Raw genomic sequence first — 14,504 nt, forward strand, 5'->3', positions numbered from 1 at the left:
AACATCAAGGCTGGAGCCTGGCGGGTTTCATCAGCATGGAGGAGAATGTTAACGAACAAGGGGTCAACTGAGGAGACATAAGAGATGAGAATCACAAACAGAGGCCCAAAGTGGACTGAGGAATCTTGCAAGAGGGAGAGAGTTCTAGGAAGGAGAGGGTAGAGAGGAGTTTAAATAAAATACAGATGGAGAGGTCAACAGGTCGCTGCTGCCACCCTAGAAAGGTCAGAGGGCAAGGGGCCAAAGTTGACCATAGTGTTTGCCCATCAGAAGAGCCTTGTGCCCAAGGAGAGAAGGAGGATCCAGTGAGACGGAGGGGGCTGAAGGCAGACTGGGGAGGTGGAAAGGGTCACGATAAACCTAAGGTCAGGATCCCTACTCCAGGGAAGGGTGGACAGGTGACTCCACTCAGAGGATGTGACTTCTAGGCTGTGACCTCCTGGAAGAATAGAGGGTAGCCCAGATGACTGGTGGTGGAGAAACAGCAAAAGGCTGGAGGCAAGAGGAAGACTGGCTCCATCGAGGAACTGCAAGGTGCTCTGTGGCCTGGGTGAAGAATTAGAAGGGGTGAGGGGCAGCGGAGGGCGGAGGGGGGGGGCGTGGAAAGATGAGCAGGGCCATCTCAGGGATGGCGTTGTATGCTGAGGGCAGCAGGAAACCATCAGACATACCAAGTAGGAAACAGACTTGGGGAGATTTGCAGGAACCCCACTCTGGCTGCCATGCAGGTGGTAGGGAGAGTTGGAGGCAGGGAGGGCAACAGGAAGCACTGGCAGTCATCCAGGGAGAAGGGACAGAAAGGAGCAGACACACTGGCAAGACAGCAAGAAGGCAGAATCAGGGACACAGTGATTGGCTGAGCTGGGTGAAGAGAAGGAGGAGCAGACATTCAAGCTTCCAGCGGGGATGAGCCCCTGGAGCAGAGCACTCGGGTGCCCCAAGTGCTGGTGCCTGAGGAACTTCCAATCAGGAACTTGGATTCAGCAACTGAATTCACGGGGCCAGAACTTGGGAGGGTGCTGATTTGGGAGTTATCACCATATGGTCTGAGTTATTAAGAGCCAATAAGATGGGCTGGGCATGGTGACTCACACCTGTAATCCCAGCATTTTGGGAGGCTGAGGAGGGAGTTCGAGACCAGCCTGGCCAACATGGTGAAACCCTGTCTCTACTAAAAATACAAAAATTAGCCTGGCGTGGTTGTGTGTGCCTGTAACCCCAGCTACTCGGGAGGCTGCGGAGAATTGCTTGAAACCGGGCGGCAGAGTTCGCAGTAAGCCAAGACTGTGCCATTGCACTTCAGCCTGGGCAGAGTGAGACTCCCTCTCAAAAAAAAAAAAAAAAGAGCCAATAAGATAATTTTTACCTAAATATCAGTAAGGCACAATGGAGAGGATTTCCCACTTTGGTATTTTAGTCTTTATTTCTACCTGAGCAAATAACCACATTTCATCTAGTGTACGGCAGATACATGCCTGTATCCATTAGTATTGCATTACGAAGAAGGCAATGAAACTCAGCACTGATGAGCCATGAGGGCGATGGCCCCTAATAGGGCAGGTCCGGGTTGGCCAGCCACGTGGATACCCGACCAGAAGTATGTGCCATGTCCAAGGTGGACGCCACCATCGTCCATTCACCCAGCTACTCCCAAGGGCCTTACTTGACCCTGTTTCCAACCACAGGACCAATCACAGCCACTGGTGGAAGGATAAATACAGACACACACACTTCTCACTCCTGCCCCTGAGGAACCGGCTCTGGAGGAAAGCCCATCACTGTGGAGTTGGAGAAACCTGGGGTGTTACCAGCCACAGTGGGGAGGTATTCATACCTCCTGCACCTTGGGCATGTCAGTATTTTCAACCATAGCCTGGGAGGCATCTACGCCTCCTAGGGTTATTAGAAAGTAACACACGTAAAAGGCTGCACACATAATATGTGCTCCATAAATATTTGTTCCCTATCTATATTCAAATATACATAAAACATTCAGACATGCAGTCGCATAGGCAAACACCTGTGAATGCATAAGGGCCCATGTGCACAGACACATGTTTTGATCATCATACGTGTAGGAACCCTCTACCCCCAGTGGAGTGTCTAGGGAGTTAGTGGGTAAAAGTAGATGAAGCCCTGCCCCCGACCTCTCCAGATTTCCCACCTGAGCACAGAACCCTGCCAGTAAAGAGGCTTCTCCACAGGAAATGGCAAGGCCCTTGGGGGGTGGTGACTCAGCCCTGACTCAGCCATGTGGCCTCCTGGGCTCCAAAGGGCCACCTTGACTTGAGGTTGAGAATGCTGTAGGCACAGCAGAGTCTTAATCTCCCAGCCAGGAAAGAAGGGGACTCTGGGGGCCAGGGCAGGGCATGTGCAGCAGGGCCAGGCCCTGGGCAGTAGGAAAGGAAGAGAGAGACAGAGGGATGGCAGGCAGGGAAGTCCCCGGATGTTTGGGGCCTACTCACCACGCCCTCATAGAGATCATTGCCTATTAATCCCCAGAAAGCCTCTGCACTTTCCCTCCTTCACTTCCAGCATCCCTCTCGCCCCACACCTGTCCCTGAAGTCCCAGTCAAATCAGTACCCTGGGCCTTTCTTACTCATTCCCTCTCTCCCTCCCTCAGCCCTGCTCCTGCTCAGCCCACTTCTTGGCCAAATTATTACAGTAGCTGCCTTCCCCCACAACCCAGTCTGTCCTGGCAAAGTCAACTTCATGTGGCAGCCAGAATGTTCTGACAGCCCCCTTTGTCCCACAAGCACCACCCCTAACATACAATGCAAAGTGGGTTTAGCCTGTTTAAATGTGAGAGCAACCAGAACATGAGGCCACATCCTGGCCTCCTCTAAGTCATCCCCGGGTTGGGACTCAGCCCAGGATTGGTACATAGTAGGCTGTCAATGAATGCTTGAGCCTGGCAGATTCTGAGCCAGGGGAATCGCCTGGACTAGGCCTGCATCTGGGCCATAGGAGAAGGAAATCTGATAAATCCATTCAATCTTCAGCACTCCTCCCTCCCTCCCTCTTCAGTAATTTGCATTTTCAATTCAAGTCAGATAGACCCCTGAGTCTCAGTCCAATAGCTGAGATTTGGTACACTTCGTTGAACAGATATTAGAAGGTTTGGGATACAATGAATGTAGATTGGGGAATAGTGAGAGATTTCTCTCCAGCCCTTTCATTTCACACATGGAGAAACCGAGGCCTGGAACGGAAGGTAACTTGCCCAAGGTGAGAAGGCAGAAGAGAGCTTGCATTCAACGGAGGGGCACACCATTGCAATTCCTTGTTATTTTTCCAGCAGCTGCCTGTGTGCTTCACGTCTCTGTGCTGATCTGCCCGAGAGGTGATGGTGTCCATTGGTGTGCTCTGGGGCTCTGGGAGAGTGAGATGAGGGCTGGGGAGAGGGCAGGTAGAGGAAGACTTGTGGGAACACAGCAAGCGCTAAATAAACAGAAGCCGCCTTTGTGGGATATTGACATTGTCATTGTTCCAGCTGGGAAAACTTCACCTGAACCAGGACCCAATTTTTCTGCCTCTCTTCTCCAGCTCCTTTCTTTCCCTGTTGTCCAGATACACCTCCTCCAGGGAGCTTCCATGACCCCCCAGCAGAACTCACCATTTGCATGTTGTTACGGTCACCTGCAGAGGCAGATGGATCCCATCCAAGGTTTGGTTTGAATGAAGACTGACGACACCACCCAAACACCAAGAGAGTATGAAAAGGTTTATTATTTACATAATTGAGGTCTCCAGGGGGAGCAGGGGCAGTCTTTCAAGCAGGTCCCAGATGTGTTGGGAGAGCCAGGAAGGAGACTGGCCTGGGTTTTTATTGTGGTTGAGGGGTGAGGGTTCCCTCAGGAAGGGGCTTGTGAATATTCCCCCTCAAACACCAAAGGAGGGTGCACCCAGACTTTCTTATCAGCTTGTCCAGGTGTAGGGCACAGAGAAGAGGGAAGGGTGAGGCTTAAAATCTGTCAGCAAACATCAACAAATGGACTTAGACTCCTCATTACACATATTATTCCTGTGTCCTTGTTTCTCTGTCTGTCTGTGTGTTTCTAGGTGGGTCTCTTCCCCATGGGGGAGGGTTGACAGATAAAGAGTTGACATGATAAAGTCAACTGAGGGATGAGATGATCCTACAGACGACGGTGCCACTGAAACCAAAGAACCCTGAGATTTCTCTTTCTCCATCTCTCCAGCTGAGATCCTTCTAGTCTCCATGTCTCCCTCCACTCCCACTCCATCTCCCCAGACTGGTCTGACACTCCCCCACATTCTTTAGCTCAGGCCCTCCCCCTACCAGTCGCCCCTGCTCTGCTCCACATTCCCTCTGGACACTCCCCTGGAGTGGAAAAACCATCCCTCATCCCTTTCCGGCTCCCAGTCCCAGGATCGGACATGCTGGTCATTCCTGTTTGGGATGTCCAAAGAGATAAGGCCTGGCATGGGGCCAATCTGTCATCGCAGGACTCTCAAAGCTGTTTCAGGCAGGATCCTCACCCACATGGCGTTTCCACCCTAAGCCCCTGCCCTTCTTACCCTGGCTGGCTCCTCTTCTCCAGGAACATGGCAGAGGACTCAGGAGCCAGGCAGAGAGCAAAGATCACTGTTCAACTTCCATCCAGGTCAGCTTCCTGTTCCTTGACCCCACATGTCTTCTAATCCCTGCAGGCCCTGGGCCACAAAGCAGACCATGAGAGAGGCTGGGTGGCTCTGGAAGTCAGAGGTCAGGAACAAATCCTGTTCTAAGGGCCGTTAGAGACAAGTGTCTTCTCCCCAAACACCACAGAGAAAGCTGTTATCACAGCTGCTTTTGTTTAGGCATGTCTAGCTGTCTGACAACCATCTGCCTGGAGTTTGTCTTCTTAAAGACACGGTTGTGGTCAGCGGCTTCAGTCCTAGCTCTGCCTCCCATAAAATTCAGATCTTGGACAGGCAGGTAACCTCCTGAGGCTCTGTTTTCTCCTAAGTCAAATGAATATCATAATCCCCACCTCACAGGGAGGCCAGGAGGATAAAATGAGCCTGCTTGTGAAATGATTTGTAAACTGTAAAGCTAGGCCAGGACCCTTTCCCAGGCTCTGAATCTAATTTTGTACTCATAATTCTTATGAGTACAAAATAATTTTATTCTTAAAGAGCACCCCAGATTGCACAAGCTTCAGGACCCACCAAACTTGGACACGCCCAAAGTAGTGTATAAATGTTCATTATTAGCATAAGTAGTTAAGGGCTCCAGGGTCAGATAACACAGGATGAAAATCCTAGTTGTGTGACCTCTGCCAAATTGCCTAACCTCCCTGAGCCTCATTTTTCTCGTTTTAAAACAGAGATAACACTTCAAAGATTGTTGTGAGGATTTAACATTTGTGAAGCATTTAGCATAGTTCCTGCTGCGTATGTGCTTAATACATGGTGTTTTGTTCTTATTATTTTAAGAATAGATGGAGAAAAGAATGCTCGGGGAGGCCAGGCAGGGTGGCTCACGCCTGTAATCCCAGCACTTTGGGAGGCGGCGGGGTGGATCACGAGGTCAGGAGTTCGAGACCAGCCTGACCAACACGGCGAAACCCCGTCTCTACTAAAAATACAAAAATTAGCCGGGCATGGTGGTGGGCGCCTGTAATCCCAGCTACTCAGGAGGCTGAGGCAGGAGAATCGCTTGAACCCCGGAGGCAGAGGTTGCAGTGAGCGGAGATCGCGCCACTGCACTCCAGCCTGGGAGACAGAGCGAGACTCCGTCGTCTCAAAAACAAAACAAAACAAAACAAAAAAACAATGTTCCGGGGAAAATGGGTCTCTGAGCTGCAATAAGAGAAATGTGAGTTAGATCCAAGAAAGTACATAGTAACCTCTTTTTTTTTTTTGAGACGACGTCTCACTCTGTCACCCAGGCTGGAGTGCAGTGGCGCGATCTCGGCTCACTGCAACCTGCGCCTCCCGGGTTCAAGCGATTCTCCTGCCCCAGCCTCCCAAATAGCTGGAACTACAGGCGCCCGCCACCACGACCGGCTAATTTTTGTATTTTTTTAGTAGAGACAGGGTTTCCCCACATTGGCCAGGCTGGTCTCGAACTCCTGACTTCGTGATCCGCCCTCCCCGGGTTCCCAAAGTGCTGGGATTACAGGCGTGAACCACTGCGCCTGGCCAGAGTAACCTCTTGAAGTTCCCTTTCGATTTGATTCCTTGGTGGAGGAGACCTTTAGTCTCCGCCCACTTACTGCCACCTGGCCCTACCCACCAAACACCTGATGGGTGCTGACGTCCGAGCCCAGTCTCCAAACACTCTGTTCGAGCTTGGGTGGGAAGAGGGAGCCTCTGGGATTCTGCTGGGCTGGGCCCTGAAGGCAGGAGTGGACGAGAAATGGATACGGTCTAGGCTCAGCTTCCCGGCTACGCAGTGCGTTCTGTGAAGGACGGACTCATTTCTACATTGACAGTCTTAGCCTTTGATACCAGAAGTCGCAGCACTTAGGGGGAAAAATGCTTTTTGGTAATTATAATTAGCGACATTTGGTTGTTACCACTGCTAAATATGTCTGTCTTTGCTGAGGAGCCAATCTCAGCTCGGATCAGGGTGAGTGGATAGGAGAAATAAATCTCGGCAAAGACAGCGAGGGGCCTGAGTGCGAGGAAGAACTCCCAGAGACCGCCAGCCACCTCTTGGGGACTCACAGCGCTGCGGAGGCGAGTCCAGCATTCTAGCCAGCCGCGCACGGACGTCGGTTCCCAGATGCGCCAATGCCAGGTCTCTCCAGCCCGGCTGGCCTTTTCAGCAGCAGCAGCAGCAGCCGCAGGAAAGCGGCCAGACAAATCCCACCCCCGGCCCCGCCCGTCACATCCATCTTGCTCCCCAGGCGACGCTTTCTCGGAGAAGCGAGGGGCGGGGAGGGGAAATCTAAGCCTTTGGGGGTTGCCGACAGGTGTTTGGGGGAGAAGGCGGAGCTGGGGTAGGGAGGATGAGGAGGGAGGGGCGGTGCTGCCCCTTTAAGAGGAGGCGGCCGAGCCGGGATCTTTTTCTCTTTCCCCGGAAGGAAAGCGCAGCCCGGGCTGGGCTCGCAAGGTGGGGAGGTGCGGGACTGGGCGTGGGGAGGCGGGGCGCGCGCCGGGGGACCCCTCCCTCCTGTCCTCCTTGCGGTCGACCGGTGCGCTTGCCAGATCCGCCGCGAAGCCGGGATCGAAGGCGACAGCGCGGCCAAGGGGGCGCGGCCGGGACAAGCTGGGGGCCGGTTGCCCGGGGCAGGGACGGCGGCGACCCGGCCGCTGGGGAGGCAGGAAGATAGACCCACGGATCTTAGGAAGGGATCCGAGAGCGCAGCTGTGAAACTGGCTGGGGCTGGGGGCACGAAACCGATCAGCGCTACGGAGCGCAGCGGCCGGCGGGTTCCAGTGTCCTCCGGCGGCGCGGGGAGCAGGTGAACAGGTCCTCACGCCCAGCTCCGCGCCCTCACGCGCTCTCGCCGGGACCCCGCTTCCGCTGGCAGCCATGGGCCCCGGCCCCAGCCGCGCGCCCCGCGCCCCACGCCTGATGCTCTGTGCGCTCGCCTTGATGGTGGCGGCCGGCGGCTGCGTCGTCTCCGCCTTCAACCTGGATACCCGATTCCTGGTAGTGAAGGAGGCCGGGAACCCGGGCAGCCTCTTCGGCTACTCGGTCGCCCTCCATCGGCAGACAGAGCGGCAGCAGCGCTACCTGTAAGTGAAGCTGGAGGGTGTGGGGTGGGAGCGAGAGAGTGTGCGAGCGCGGGATGCGGGTCCGGAGCTGAGTCGGAGCCCAGGGCAGCTGGCCCTTGGGAGCCAGGATTAAGGGGCGGCCCTCTGGCTGCTGGGGGTTGGCGGGAAGTGGAGGATTGGGTGTGGGGTCGGGCAGTAATCATTGGCAAGTGCTGACGGGGCCAGAACCTGTCTGGACGCCACCCCTCCGCCCTTTAGATCTCTCATGAGAGCGGAAGTGGGGTCCCGGTGGCTGAGTCCTCTCCCATTCTGTGAACCGAGTACCCAGCACTAGCCTGTTCTCTCCAGGGCTGGGAGCTGGGGTAAACTGCAAGATAAACACCCAGCGGACTCCCCCCTTCCCGTACGCTTGGGGGAAAAATGAGCATATACATTTAAGCACCTCGCTGGTAGTCTGCGGCCACGCCAGCCACACCCTCTGCAGAGCCAGACTGGATGGCCTTCTCAACCGCTGGCTTGGCGGATGGAGGGTGAGGCGATGGGTGAGTCTGGGCGTTTGGAGCTGTCCATACGCTCCCTCTGACGCCTTGAGGATAGGGGCGGTGAAAGAGAGAGGAGGACTTGTCCCAACTCTGGCTGGGTCTCCTCCTGCCCACCCGCAAGCAGTGGCACTCTCCCCGCAGACATCTTCCCTGCATTCCACAGATTCGTGTTGGATCTTCAACCCTGAGTGTGTTTGTTTTGGTTTGAAGAGGGAAACAGTGTTTTTCTCTTTCTTCTGTTCTCCTTCCCCAACAGCTGCAAGGAGGAGGGGAAGAGCTATGCACAGTGGAGGAAGGAGGAGGAGGTTGCACCCAGCCTCCTGGGTCCCCCTCACTCCACCAGACGCCCTCATGCCCAGGAGCATGTCCAGGCTTCAGAGGTCTCTCTGCCGTGGCCTCAGAGCGCGCGGAGGTTGGCGGTTGGGGGAGGTGAAGCTGTCCAAAGAGGGACGGTGTTTAGGACAGGTTAAGCAGGTACCATCCACCACTTTGGGCTGGGCGATCTGCCAGGCATCTGCCCCCACCTAGCCTCTGCCCCCACCTGGCCTCTGACCCCACTGAACAAGAAGACGTGGTCACATCCAGGGTACACTGGAAAATCTCCCTGCTCTGGCTGGGGCCTGCAGAGCTTGAGGAAGTTTAGAATGTCCAAAGTCCAAACTCTGCCCCCGCCTTGGTTCTGCCCTCCTGACCCAGCCTACCTACCTGGACTTAACCTCAACTCCATCTTGCTCTTGCAGAGGCTAGGGCTACCACACCCTTCCCAGCCTGGCCCCAGCAGCTGCCACCTGGCCTTAGCCAACCCTCTATCTTTTGGAGATCCTGAGCCACCATGAGCACAAGTTTCTACATCAGCTCTTTCTGCCCTAACTGAGAAAAAGATTTTCAGACTTTCAATGCCAAATCTGCATGATATAAGATAACATAGGTAAAGAGATCAGACTGGAAAGAAAGAGTCAATAATGATTCCGCAACCCTTTTGCCTGGTGACCTTGAGCAAGATATTTCCCCTCCCTGGGCCAGGTTTCCCCCAAAACGGGTTGGACCTGGATCTAGTGCTCTTTCCCACTGCTGCTGGCCTGTGAGAAGCAACTTGATATGGTAGAGGGAGAAGAGGCTTGGAGGTCCCATGGCCAGTGTCCTGTCTCAGATCTGTTACCAATACCTGAACCTGAATTTCCGCACATGTTGGAGGGAGGGGAACAGCATGCCTTCTGCTGGGATGTTAGTGGGGCTGTAACGAGATAAAGTGCGTAAAATCCTCTGCACATGTGCCTTTCTCCAAGGAGCACCTGAAGGCTCTTGCGCTGAGGCCAGAACCTGGATGCATCCTCATTACCCATGGGCCCCGCCCAGGGTGGCTGAGCAAAGGGGTTCTACTTTTCTGTCTGGGAAGCTGGAGCTGGCATTCAGCCTGCCAAGAGCCCAGAAGGTTCTAAAGCTAATGAACCTCTGAGGGGCAGTTCTCTCCCTTGAGTATCCTCAGTCTTTCCTAAGGGTGGTTCTGTGTCTTGGCCCTTCTCTTCATCTCACTAAATTCGACCCCTCGGCCATTTGGGAGAGCCAGCTGGGCTTAGCTGCAGCCAGCTGTGTAGCCAGATGCAAACAGCTGCCTGAGTGCACAACTCAGAGGAACTAACTAGTAAGACGAGCTGCAGCCTCATATTCTGTTAGCCTGAAAGTCTCTTTGGAAAAGTGGGATGGTTCGTGGTCTTGGACAGGCTCTTAAACTGGGGTTCGTAGAAGGTTTTCAAGAGATGCAGGGACTCCCTGAAAGTGTACCCAAAATCGTAGTATTTGTCCACTGCCCTGGGGGTGGGAGGAGGGGAGAGCACAGCTTTCTTGTTCTCCATTCATAAGGCCTCAGAAATGGTTAGAAACCCAGGGGTGGGACCCTCTTTGCTGCCCCATCACCTTCATCTCTGGACTGGGGTTCCTGGTCCACAACATAGGGGGCTAGCCCCAACCCAGGGCCCAGTCTCCTAGTCTGTGGAAATGAGGGGTAAGGAGCAGGCAGAGGACCAAAGTGCTCTGGGCTTCTTGGCAAGATGCATGAGGGGTTCCTTGGAGGGACAGGGACTGTTCTCTGGGAGGTGGTTACTGACACCCTCTCTGCTCCAGCACCTGCACTGACATTCCCTCCTGGGAATCCAGGCATTCTGGTCTGGCCTGACCCTGTGGGCCTATGGGGATACTGCCGGTCCTTCTCTCTCTTTCACTTTTGCTTGGAAATGAGGGTATCTGGGAAGCCCAGGGCAGGGTGGCTCCTAGAAATGAGGTCATGCCTGAGGTACGCAGGAGCCAGGCTCACCTGCCATGCTCTCCTAACATCATGTTTCCCTGGGCAAAGCAGGTGCCTGGCAGCCTTCAAGGTTCGTGCCAGCAGAAATGGGCACAGCAGCTGTGGCTGGAGGCAGAAGGCCTGCTCGTGTAGTATCTTTTTCCTCTGGCTCTACCCAGTGACCAGTCTAGGCCAAGAGGCTTTCAACTGGGCAGGAGTAGGGGAAGCCTGATCTTGTAGAAAAAGCAGCAGCGAAGGGGGCTTGGTCAGAAGTAAACAAAGAAGGAAGAAGATCCCCTTTGCAGTAAGAGGAATTGAGGTTAGATGACACTTAGAATGCCCTCGGGGGTCAAATACAGGAAAAATACTGAAGAGCCAAGGAAAGGGAGCAGAACTGAGAAAAATGGCCTTGTTCTTTTTTTATCTGAGGCTTAGCCAGGGCTCTTTTTCCTGTCCTTTCTCATTCTCTCTCTCCCTCCAGCTTGTTGCTCTGGTTCTAGGGCTGAGTCACCAGTGGGGAGAGGGGGCTGGGTGGGCAGCAAGGGAAGGGTCAGGAAGGATGGGGAGGGCTGCAGTTTCAGCTGCCACAGGGCCGGCCTCTGGGGAGATGGCTAATTCGGGCAGCAAGGCTGGCATAGAGCTGGGATCCAGGCATCCCAGAGCTGCCCCCACCCCTTCTCTGGGGCTCAGAGGTGGAGCAGGCACCCTCCCCACCTGCCTCCCGGCCGGGGATAGGAGGGGAACACAGGAGGCTAGGTACCCAAGGAGTGAGGCCCTGCCATGTTGGCCTGAGTGCTAGATCCTTTGGCCCCCTCTGGAATCCTCCCATGGAGCCACCAAGTGCCTCCCTGAGGTGACAGAATCTGGGAAGGTGAATCTTACAGGCTGCTTCTCTGAGCATTACCCCACCCCAGTGCCCCCAGGGGCCTTCTCCTCTTTGAGGTGAGCCAACCTGGTACCCTGAATTCTCCTGGGTACTGTGCCGCGCCCTTCTTTGATTCTTCTGCTTTCTCCTTGGCTGTTCCATTAGCTCTGAACTGCCCCAAGGGGAGTGATAGGGCAGGGGTAAGGAAGGGCTTTTTCGGAACTTGGAGCTCAAGGGGCTCCGCAGAGGCCAAGAGGGGCTGTTTGGCTGGAGCCAATGGGAGGGTGAGGAGGCAGCTGTTGGAAAGCCCTTGAGTAGTCACTTCACCCATCCCACTCCATCTGGGGGGCTGGGGGTCTCTGCTCCCCCCAGTCCAGCCTGACTCCAGGAGAGGGGCAGTCCCATCTCCTATCTTCCTTGCTCTAAGAGCTCCATCTAGGCATCCCTCCACCTACTCTCCCTCCTTCTGGCTGCAGCTGAGGGGATGGGTTCAGTACTGCTCTGGAAGGGGTCAGCTTTTGGATTTTGTGATCTGGACCAGACCTAAAAGCAGGTGGCTGGCAGAATTGCTCATTTGTGTACTAATTTGCATTTCATTTGCATACAGTAAGGTCCCTCTCACCTTCAGGATTCTCCAACCCCCTCCGCACACACCTGGGTGTGTGTGGCTGGAGGAAGCTGGAACCACCCTCTGCACACCCGCCTTCCCCCATCCATGTGCAGGCCTCTGGCTGTAGACCCATTGGATCCTGGGCTGGGAGCCAGAGGGCCTTAAAGGGCCTCTGAGTGGGCCAAGTGGAAGCTAAAAATACTCTGGGGGGGTGAAGCGGGGGCTCACTCTGGAATCTCTGAGGAGGGAGGGGCCTGGGATGTAGGGCTGGGATTAGGGCACTGGCCCTGCCCTGCCCTCTATCAGTAGGCATAAGGCTGGTTCCAGGCAACAGGCAGGAGGGTATTGGTGGTAAGGGGAAGTATTTCAATCTGATTGACATGCGTGCCCAGCTCTGCCTGCTCAGTACCTTGGGAAGTTCAGAGGAGGGAGTCCCTTAGCCCCTTCCTGGCTGAGTTGAGGGGGCTGGGAGGGCATGGAGACCCTTTTGCTCAGCTGCCTCCTGTATGACAACATGGGCAGGGCAGCAGCAGCAACAAGGGGGCAACACTTCCATTACAGGCGTGCCCAAGGCCCGGCCTCCCACTGAGGCCCGGACCCCTTAGTGTCACTGTAGAAAATTCCCAACCTCCACCTCCAGCCAGATCTGAGCCCCCGCTGTAGAGTGACTCTAGCTGCCAGCGCTCCCACCCTGACCCCAGTGATCACCTGGTATCCTCAAGCCATGGAAGTCTTCCTATGTCTCCCTGCTGATCTCTCTAAACCACCAAAGGAGTCTCTTCTTTTCCCTCTGCTCCAGGTTCCCTAACATGCCAGGGCAGAAATTCCTGGGTCCAGCCAGGCACGGTGGCTCACGCTTGTAATCCCAGTAACTTGGGAGGCCGAGGCGGGTGGATCACCTGAGGTCAGGAGTTCGACATCAGCCTGGCCAATATGGCGAAACCCCATCTCTAGTACAAATACAAAAATTAGCTGGGCGTGGTGGTGCATGCCTGTAATCCCAGCTACTTGGGAGGCTGAGTCAGGAGAATCACTTGCACCCGGGAGGCGGAGGTGGCAGTGAGCCGAGGTTGTGCCACTGCACTCCAGCCTGGGTGACAGAGCAAGACCCTGTCTCAAAAAAAAAAAAAAAAAGAAAGAAAAAAAGAAATTCCTGGGTCCCTGGAGGGAGGGCTGGAGGCATGCTAGACCAGTCCTGATGCCACAACAAATCGGAACAACAATGCTCACATTAGCTATGGCTTCATATCAGAACACCTTTTTGTAGAATAGACCTATTTGTTCCTCTAGCAACCCTGGAGGTCAGCAGGAGAGGGGCTGCCCCCATTTTACAGATGGGGCACTCAGGGCTCAGAGAAGGAAAGGAAATTGCCCCTTCAGGCAGAACAAACCCTAGACCCAGGTCCGTGGGTTCTCAGGCTGAGATGCTCCTTTCCCGCAGGCTGTGGGTCCCTTCTCTCATCTGTCAGGCACGCCAGAGAGCGGATGTCCATGGGTGGTCAGGCAGTGGACTCATCGAGGCCTTCCCAGCCCAGAGAGAAGTGACTCTCCAGGCCTGGCTGCCACCCTGGCCCCCTGCCAGCCTCCCTGGCCAGGAAGCTTCACCCCTTCTCCCAGGAACACTTCCCCAGGGTGAGGTCTGAGCTGTTGTCTTGAAGTATAGGCAAGGTCCCACCCCCTTCCCAGCACCCGCAGGCAGTACATTCCTGACTCCCAGTGGGTGGAGATACCCCAGGCCCTGGCATGCCCAGGCCCTGCACTGCCCTGCCCTGCCCAGCCCACTCCCTGTAGCCCACACTCACAGGTCCCAGGCAGAAGCTACAGGCGTGGCTGTTGCTTGGCACTTCCAGACTGGCAGGAGGCCCAGAGCCCAAGTTCTGAGCTGGGAGCTGTAGAGTGATAGAGTTGCTGGGGCCAAATGGTGGGGCACCTGGGAGGTGCCTGCCACCCGAGAAGGCCAGGGCCATCAGGATTGAGCAGGGGCTCCTGGCAGAACATTTAGAGGCTGCAGGGAGGTGATGTGGGGAGAAAATCTGCTAAAACTGAGTTCTCAAACTGGGGTGCACCAGATTCCACCAGATGGTGTGTTGTGGGCAGAGGAATCTACCTTTTTAACAAAGATCCCCGGGGTTTCTGATGGCCCAAGGCTTGTCCTCTAAGATGGCATTTCAGGGCCAACCCCTGCCTCTTTCTGCTCCAGCCACCCCTCTGGTATGGGACGGGTTGCCAGGGTCCTAAGCATCCTTGCAGGAACTTGCTGTCTGCATCCCCAAAGATGGATTCTGGGCAGGCTGGGAGCAAGGCAAGAGCCCTTTCCCTCCCCACCTGCTGCCCACCCACTGGGAACTCTGCTCTGGGGCCACATTGTCCAAAGTGTCAGGTACTTATCCCAACCCCTACCTGTGTGCCTGTCTTAAGGTAACTGGGGAAGGATGTTGGACATCACCCAGGTCGCTTAGGGGCCCAGGTCTCCAAGATCTGAGTCTCCACATGGCTTCAGGAGGAAAAACCCAGCGTTCTGACAACCCAGT

At 55.1% G+C, this 14,504-nt stretch overlaps 1 protein-coding gene and 1 long non-coding RNA gene across 4 annotated transcripts in view, besides 4 other annotated features; one reads left to right on the forward strand and one right to left on the reverse strand.

Moving 5' to 3' along the window:
- On the reverse strand, positions 1,400-6,790 carry PICART1 (p53 inducible cancer associated RNA transcript 1). Its single transcript, NR_038230.1, has 3 exons — positions 6,680-6,790; positions 4,544-4,678; positions 1,400-3,686 (listed from the first exon to the last, which is right to left on the reverse strand). It is a non-coding gene; the product is annotated as a p53 inducible cancer associated RNA transcript 1 (long non-coding RNA).
- Positions 5,589-6,115: an enhancer, noted in NCBI's record as "H3K4me1 hESC enhancer chr17:48131902-48132428 (GRCh37/hg19 assembly coordinates)". NCBI's record gives its function as "activates a minimal SCP1, AML or CMV promoter by ChIP-STARR-seq in naive H9 embryonic stem cells {active_cell/tissue: H9 hESC(naive)}" and the evidence as "EXISTENCE:reporter gene assay evidence [ECO:0000049][PMID:30033119]".
- Positions 7,095-7,234: a silencer, noted in NCBI's record as "silent region_8678". NCBI's record gives its function as "represses an Ori minimal core promoter by ATAC-STARR-seq in GM12878 lymphoblastoid cells {active_cell/tissue: GM12878}" and the evidence as "EXISTENCE:reporter gene assay evidence [ECO:0000049][PMID:35858748]".
- Positions 7,161-14,504, forward strand: part of ITGA3 (integrin subunit alpha 3) — a 34,372-nt gene continuing 27,028 nt past the window's right edge. For all 3 annotated transcript variants that reach the window (NM_002204.4, XM_005257308.3, XM_047435922.1), the window contains exon 1: positions 7,161-7,696. In NM_002204.4, the coding sequence (NP_002195.1) occupies positions 7,491-7,696 (206 nt within the window). In that variant the 5' untranslated portion in view covers positions 7,161-7,490. The remainder of the gene's footprint in view (positions 7,697-14,504) is intronic.
- Positions 13,203-13,703: an enhancer, noted in NCBI's record as "H3K4me1 hESC enhancer chr17:48139516-48140016 (GRCh37/hg19 assembly coordinates)". NCBI's record gives its function as "activates a minimal SCP1, AML or CMV promoter by ChIP-STARR-seq in naive H9 embryonic stem cells {active_cell/tissue: H9 hESC(naive)}" and the evidence as "EXISTENCE:reporter gene assay evidence [ECO:0000049][PMID:30033119]".
- Positions 13,704-14,204: an enhancer, noted in NCBI's record as "H3K4me1 hESC enhancer chr17:48140017-48140517 (GRCh37/hg19 assembly coordinates)". NCBI's record gives its function as "activates a minimal SCP1, AML or CMV promoter by ChIP-STARR-seq in naive H9 embryonic stem cells {active_cell/tissue: H9 hESC(naive)}" and the evidence as "EXISTENCE:reporter gene assay evidence [ECO:0000049][PMID:30033119]".

Source organism: Homo sapiens, chromosome 17 (assembly GCF_000001405.40).
Source record: "Homo sapiens chromosome 17, GRCh38.p14 Primary Assembly".
NCBI classification, from domain to species: domain Eukaryota; kingdom Metazoa; phylum Chordata; class Mammalia; order Primates; family Hominidae; genus Homo; species Homo sapiens.